The sequence below is a fragment of the Homo sapiens genome, chromosome 11, assembly GCF_000001405.40.
Source record: "Homo sapiens chromosome 11, GRCh38.p14 Primary Assembly".
Classification (NCBI taxonomy): domain Eukaryota; kingdom Metazoa; phylum Chordata; class Mammalia; order Primates; family Hominidae; genus Homo; species Homo sapiens.
Window position 1 is genome coordinate 90,073,815 of NC_000011.10, and position 8,215 is coordinate 90,082,029.

Here is an 8,215-nt window from a genome sequence, read left to right on the forward strand (position 1 = left end):
TACACAGAAGTTTTCACTGAATCTTTGGGCCAGAATAGGAATTTAACAGTCGTGCATCCTATGGCAACAAAAACACATTCTGAGAAATGCATTACTAGGCGATTTTATCATTGTGTGAACATTAGAACACACATAAAAACCTAGATAGAATATCCATCTACAGATATAAGCTAAATGGTACAGCCTATTGCTTCTCTGAGAAGTTGCTAGCAATGTCTCAGCGGGAACCAAAAGGGTTTAACCCACATTGAATTCTGTAGCTGTTTAATAAAGCAAACAGCATCATCCAGGGAAAAATAAACAGATGAGCAGACTGTCTACTTTAAAATGTGTTTATGCTTCCCATTCACACGGATTGTGAATTCTCACTGTTAACCTAGAGTCCCAGCTAGTCAGGAGGCTGAGGCAGGAGAAAAGTGTGAACCTGGGAGGCAGAGGCTGCAGTGAGCTGAGATCGTGCCACTGCACTCCAGTCTGGTGACACGATGAGACTCCATCTCAAAAAAAAAAAAAAAAAAAAAAATTAGCTTCAAATTCCAAAACACTTAATGTTGCACCCTCCTTGAACAATAACTAAAAAAACTCATTTCCACTCTGTGAAAATACAATCTTTGAGCTTATAACTGGTATCAGCAGATCAATATAAAAAATACAGTACCAAGCTACACTGGTATATTTCCATTTTAAGAACTCCACAATATCCTCATTGCTGAGAGCATAGTCCTTGCATTAGTTTTCAGTATGCTATGAACAATTATCTGCTGCATGTAAACATGTCTAAATAACTATAGATAAAATACATCAATCATAAATTTCTGTAAAAGATAATAAAATATCTTCTTTAAAAAACAAAACAATAAGCTATTACTGCATTATTTCCAATTTTATGAAAATGGAACAAATATATGGTTGTTGCTAGTCTTGAGTTCATTGCAATAAAAATGGCCCTAGTTCCTGGTTAAAGTCAGCAACCAATCTATTTTCTTCAATAGATGTCTTCTAGTTGTGTAGGCAAGAATTTGTTTTACATGCTATTCTGTCAGTTTATAAAATTATACACCAGAAACTGACCAGTACCACAGTACTCTGTTGCAAACAGTTTTCCATCAGGAGTGGGATCTGAGAAAGCAATTTCTTCTTTGCTCAAATATGAGATATATATATAAAGTTACTCCTTAGGCATTCAATCTTGCGAGAAGCAATTTTCTTCCAACACATCATGCTGAATACCCATATTCGACTGATCCCACAGATTGCAGGCTCTGGTAACGTTGAGCAGCAAGATTCCAATTTTAAATAAATAGGAGGCTATGTTTTTCTCACCTACTTATCCAAATTGAGGAGGTAATCAAAACGAAGATTGACACTTTCATCAACTGGATTTCCTCTGTACGTGCAAGAAAGTGCAATCTGTTGCCATCTCCTGTTCAGTGAGAAAGCTGAAAAAACATCCTGAGCAAGAGGACCTGAATGTAAGGAAATGACCTGGTGTTTTCCTCAGTACTTCTGTTCCCATCCTATTGCTTCAAGCTTAGGTATACAGCACACTGAACTGCAAGATGTATCCGGAAATGCTGAATACACACTAAAATGTTTATTTTTATTTCCTTTATTTTATTTTATTTTTATTTCTTTTGCTAGAGACAAGGTCTCGCTATATTGCCCATGGTGGTCTCGAACTCCTGACCTCAAGCAACTCTCCCGCCTGAACTGCCCAAAGCACTAGGATTAGAGGCATGTGCCACGGTGTCTGGTCTTTTCTTTTTTTGGTCTCAAACTCCTGACCTCAAGCAACCCACCCTCCTCAACTGCCCAAAGCACTGGGATTAGAGGCATGTGCCACCGGTGTCTGGCCTTTTCTTTCTTTTTCTTTTTTTCTTTGATTTAGAAGAGAAAGAAAATTAAATGACAGCACAGCAGAAGAAATGCCCAAGAGCTTGTGTTCAATGAAAATCAGGTGATCCTTTACTGAAGAGTTGCTTTTAGTTAGAACTGGGAATGGGTATTCAGGAATAAGTAAACTCTGCTTTTCACCACTGTCGAAGTGTCCAGTGTTTCCCCATTCAGCAACTGGCTAATTAAGGGTCATATGGCAAGAAGGATCTTATGTGTCTTTTAATCTCTTAAACTGATCACTAACTCAAGGTGATTATACAAATTATGAAAATGCTTATTAGCAATGCTTCCTTATTCTTTCTGTCTGTACTACCTACACTCCTTAGTTAACTTTCTCTCTTCTCCTCCCACACACTTATTTGCAGCACTTTCCTAGGTAACAGGAAAAGTCTATCACCTTCTGATGATTTGTGTCTCTCCAACTGATCTCAGATTATAGAATTTTGCCTTCTGGGCTTTCAACCCAATTCTCCTTTTTATTTCCACCTAAAGTTTCTGAGCTTTCTCTACTGACACTAAAAATTTCCATAAGCAACAGCTATTACACTCTCAATATTACCTTGTTACCAATTTTGTTTGTCACTTATTCAAAGAAAATTTTATAGCTAATCATATTTAGCTTAGATTTACTTGTACATACAGTTGGTATTAGCTACTGTAGACATTTAAGATATTACTTTAATTTTGGAAGAGGGGAAAGTGCGTATTAGTTTGGTAAATTTTCTTAGCCATTAAACCAAAAACTTGTTACATTCCTCTGTTTTGATAACTTCTATTAGAATTATTATCATCTGGGACATTCCTAAAATTGAGAAATAAAATTAAGGTGCAACTACTGGGAACCTTGCCACTTATATCAGAAATCTAGGACTCCTCACCTCCTGAAGAGGTTATTGATCCATTTGCCTTGTCGCATTTTGGGGGACACAAGTTAAATTCTTCACAGAAATAAAATTCAAAGTTAAAAACTGATGTGGAGACATAGTATGTGTGTAGTTCAAACCAGAGAGATGAGATGAAATTGTAAAAGGAAGAGTATACAAAATGAGAAGAGATCATGGTCTGTGATGAAATTGTGGGAAAGCAATAGCATAAAGGTATCACTGAGGAACTTGAGACCAGGAAGAAACTAAGATGTGTTTACTCATGTAGTTAAAAAAAGAAAATTACATGTTGGGAGGCTGAGGCGGGCAGATAACTTGAGGTCAGGAGTTTAAGACAAGCCTGGCCAACATGGTTGGTGAAAGCCTGTCTCTACCAAAATTACAAAAATTATCCAGACATGGTGATGGGCATCTGTAATCCCAGCTAGTTGAGACACTGAGGCAGGAGACTTGCTTGAACCCAGAAGGTGCAGGCTGCAGTGAGCTGAGATTGTGCTACTGCACTTCACCCTGGGTGACAGAGTGAGACTCCATCTCAAAAAAAAAAAAAAAAAAAAAGAGAGTGCCAGACATGGTCAATTATGCCTGTAATCCCAGCACTTTGGGAGGCCGAGGTGGGCGATTCATGAGGTCAGGAGTTTGAGACCAGCCTGACCAAGATGATGAAAGCCCGTCTCTACTAAAAATACAAAAATTAGCTGGGCATGGTGCATGCCTGTAATCCCAGCCACTCGGGAGGCTGAGGCAGGAGAATTGCTTGAACCCGGGAGGCAGAGGTTGCAGTGAGCTGAGATCGCGCCACTGCACTCCAGCCTGGGTGACAGAGCAAGAGTATGTCTCAAAAAAAAAAAAAGAAAAGAAAAAGAAAGAAAGAAAAGAAAAAAATTGTGTGTGGCAAAATAAAGCTAGTAAGAGTTATTTGTTCTAAAGAAAAGCAGCAGGAGTATCTCAGATTAGTATTGAAAAGCAAGGATACCATAAGGAAGAGTTTAGACTATGATAGGAGCTTCACTCGAATGCTGAGTTATAAAAACTGGTCAGGTAGTGGTGTGCAAGATGTTCTATAGGCAGAAAGAGGCAACAGCTAAGAGATTAAAATAATTTCCATCAAAAGGAGCCTTGACTGTCAGTATAGGATACAAGTAACAGAGAGATAGAAGTAAAAACAGTATAAAGAACATCTCTAGCCAAATATTTCAGGTATTACCATCTAATCCCTCAAAAATACTTATCTAGGCCGGGCGTGGCAGCTCACGCCTGTAATCCCAGCACTTTGAGAGGTTGAGAGCAGTGGATCACCTGAGGTCAGCAGTAAGACCAGCCTGGCCAACATAGCGAAACCCCATCTCTACTAAAAACACAAACGTTAGCCTGTAATCCCAGCTACTCGGGAGGCTGAGGCAGGAGAATCACTTGAATCCGGGAGGCAGAGGTTGCAGTGAGCTGAGGTTGAGCCAGTGCACCCCAGCCTGGCAACAGAGTGAGACTCCACCTCAAAAAAAAAAAAAAATATCTAATGTGTCTAATGTGTTCCCATTTTCTCTAAGCCACAGTTTTCTGAGGTGTGGAAAAAGAAACATGACTAAAATTCCACATGGAATTGTCTTCATTGAGTAAAATTCCTTGGCATATTTAGTTTTGAAGCTGTACATTTGAGTAGGTGACTATGAAGTAATGACAACAGTAACAACAAGTTGATAGTATTCCTACATACAGGAAGCAGCATTTTGCCTTTGTGGAAATAGAAGAGGCATTTGCACAGAGAAGGGCCAAGCACCATCTGATGAGAGATGGGCACCAAGATTGGAAATGGTTAGGGGGAAAGATATGAATAGCAATAGATAATAATCACATTTAATTTAATTTATTTACCAACCCCACCCAATTCAGTGAGGTGTACTTGTATGCAAGATATTGTTTTGTGATTCTTATTGTTGAAATCAAAGAAAGTGAATGATTTTGTATGTGAATTTATGAGAACTGGAGCAGTTGCAGCTAACTTGAGTTTGTAAAAATATCCAGAAGCTGAACTGATTCTGTTAAAGCATGAGGTCATATTGGAGAGGTCCCTAGACTCTGTATACAATCTGGATGGATGCTTTTGAACCACATTTTGTATTTCTTGACAAGCAGAGTTGCCTTAATTAACATCAGAGGATCTGAAGATATCTGTTCTGCTTTTTGTCCTGTGTGAGATACTGTGGAGTGAAGTGAAGCAAGGAACAGAGAAAGACCACAGCCATCAGCTACCATGATAAGTAGCAGACCTGAAAACAAAATTCTCATGTATACAGGGCACAGGGCTGGTACTCAACAATGAAATACTAGCTAATACTGAGTGCCTAATTTGCAAGAAGAAGATCAACACACAAAGAAAGAGCCTTTTTACTAAGCATTAGAAGTTATGACAGAAATAAAATATTTTTCTAGAAATGATGAGACAGAAGCTTATCACCAAAATTACTCATGCAGGGTATATTGCCATAATAACTAACTAATGCATCTTTTACCTGTTGGGAAGAGTTTTCTTAGGACTTCTTAATTTTCTTAGGACTAGCGCCAGAATAAAGCAAAAACATCTGGATGAGATTGAATAAAAATTCCTTTCAAGGCCAGGCATAGAGCCTTATGCCTTTAATCTCAGCACTTTGGGAGGCTGGGCGGGAGGAATGCTTGAATCCAGGAGTTCAAGATGAGCCTGGACAACATTGAGATAAGCTATTTCTTTTCTTTTCTTTTTCTTTTTCTTTTTTTTTTTTTTGAGACGGAGTCTTGCTCTGTCGCACAGGCTGGAGTGCAGTGGCAAGATCTGGGCTCACTTCAACCTCTGCCTCCAGGGTTCAAGCAATTCTCATGCCTCAGCCTTTTGAGCAGCTGGAATTAAAGGCACGTGCTAAGATGCCCAGCTACTTTTTTTTTTTTTCCATATTTTTAGTAGAGATGGTGTTTCACCATGTTGCCCAGGTTGGTCTCAAACTCCAGGCCTCAAGTGATCCGCCTGCCTCAGCCTCCCAAAGTGCTGGGATTACAGGCATGAGCCACTGGGTCTGGCCCCAGATACTCTATTTCTATAAAACTAATTTTTCAAAAAATTAGCAGCATCATGGCACACGTCTATGGTTGCAGCTACTTGGGAGGCTGAGGTGGGATGATCACTTGAACCTTGGAGTTTGAAGCTGCAGTGAGCCATGACTGTTCCACTGCATCCCATTCTGGGCAACAGAACTAGAGCTTTTCTCAAAACAAACAAACAAAAAGGTATTTTATTTCACCACAATGTTTTATTTGCATATATTTGCTTGTGCACATATATGTGTGTGTTGTGGTGTAGAGTAGAAGACGAGTTTAAAGTCACGACATGGGTGACAGTTTGAGCTTATATCCTCAAACTCTAGCATGTGTCAGAATTATCCACAGGGCTTATTATTATAGATATTCCTAAACCCCACCATATAAAACTAATTGTAACTACAATGTCGAAATAATTATTTATGTGAGTAATATAAGAGATACATGTCTGAGAGTATATTCTTACAGGAGTAAAGGTTTCTTTTTCAGTAGAAGTTTACTCTCATTAACAACCGTAAAATATAAAGAAAAAGATGATAATTTTTAAAAATAATATCAGCAAGTTTTTACCATTAAAATCACCAAGGAGTTTAATCCTTCTAATATTTTTCTATACTTGTTTTTGTCTATATCCATCTTTGTCTATAATTTTTAAAAATTTTTTCAAAATAAGTTATATTTATTGTATTTTAAAGCTAAAAATGTATTTAAACATTTTATTAATTTAGGCTTTTTCAAATAATATCTTGTTATTTGATACGTTCAGTTAATTACTAGTTGGTAACTTTAGATATAAAATGTTTGAAAGGCAGAAACCTGTTTTATAAATTATGAAGCCTCATATTGTCAAACCCTAATTTGATCAATGCACAATTTATACATGTATCAAAATACTATATTGTACCTTATAAAAATATGTGCAATTTTTATATATTGATTAAAAATAAAAATTTTAAAATTTGTTCAAATAAGTTGTCATTTAAATAAAGGTATCTTTTTGATTAGTTTGAATTTGATCAAAAACAAAATTATCTGAATTTTTTTGAGAGGCAGTACCTATTTCATTTCCCTAAATTTAAAATTAAATCAGCCAGAGATGCCAGACACCGAGCTTCTACTTCTCTTTTTCCAAAACCACCCACCATCATCATTAGCATTTTGATCTCCAAGTCTAAAGGCTGGTAGGAATTGATCAGTACTGAAGGGAATTACATGTCCAGGAGGAAGGTGAGATGGTAGCAGATCCCAGATTTCAGTGAAGAAAGGGCAGAAATTATCAAAGAATGGAATGGTGTATATTCAAATATCATATAAAAATACTGTCAGATGTGGGAACAGAAATGAAAGTAGACTCGTTGCCCCAGAAAAATCAGACATGAATTTTCCACCTGGGTGTTATTTAAAAATCAATGACAATATAAACCAGCACTAGAGGGTGTTTGTAGAGGGTTATTTACAGAGATTAGAAATGGAGTTAATTTAATCAACGGTTGAAAGGTAAATCCTTTTATTGATACTTTGTACTGCAGACATCTAATCAGGGAGGGGCTTTAAGGATCCTATAATACACTGGCATCCAAAAAGCAAGTCTAATTATTTTAGAGGCATTTGGAATTTGCTAGACTGTGGAAACCTCAGAAAATAACATCTGTTGTCCAGAAAGCCCAGAGGACACAGAACTCCTGAGCCAAATGCATGAACTTTCCTGCAAGCACTGTTCAGACCAGTTATAGAATATTCAGGTGAGTATTTCCTTTAATTTTTTGTTCCTTGTTTATACAAATTGTGAACTTCTGGAGGGAAAGTCCTAGATATTATACAGTTTTATCTATAGCATGATATCTAGAATTTAATTGGAAACCTTTATTGTAGAATATGAAAAGTTCCATGTTGTCTTTAACTTCAGGTTGAATGCAGCCTTGGTCGTCTGCAAAGTTTTTAAGTGCTCAAAGGCACTTTTTTATTTTCCTAATATTCCACTGAAGTTTTTATTTCTGTCATGGTATTTTTATTTTACAAATCTATTTTGTTGTTTGAATCCTCTTTTTAAAGCCTCTTGTTATTTTTTGATATTTTTATTATATTTAATATAGTTTGATAATAAATATCATACATATGACTTTGTGAAGCTACTATATAAATGTTTATTTTATTTTATTTTATTTTTATTTTCCTTTTTTGAGATGCAGTCTCACTCTGTCACCAGGCTGGAATGCAGTGGCGTGATCTCAGCTCACTGCAACCTCTGCCTCCCAGGTTCAAGCGATTCTCCTGCCTCAGCCTCCCGAGTAGCTGGGACTACAGGGGTGCACCACCATGCCCAGCTAATTTTTGTATTTTTAGTAGAGATGGGGTTTCACCATGTC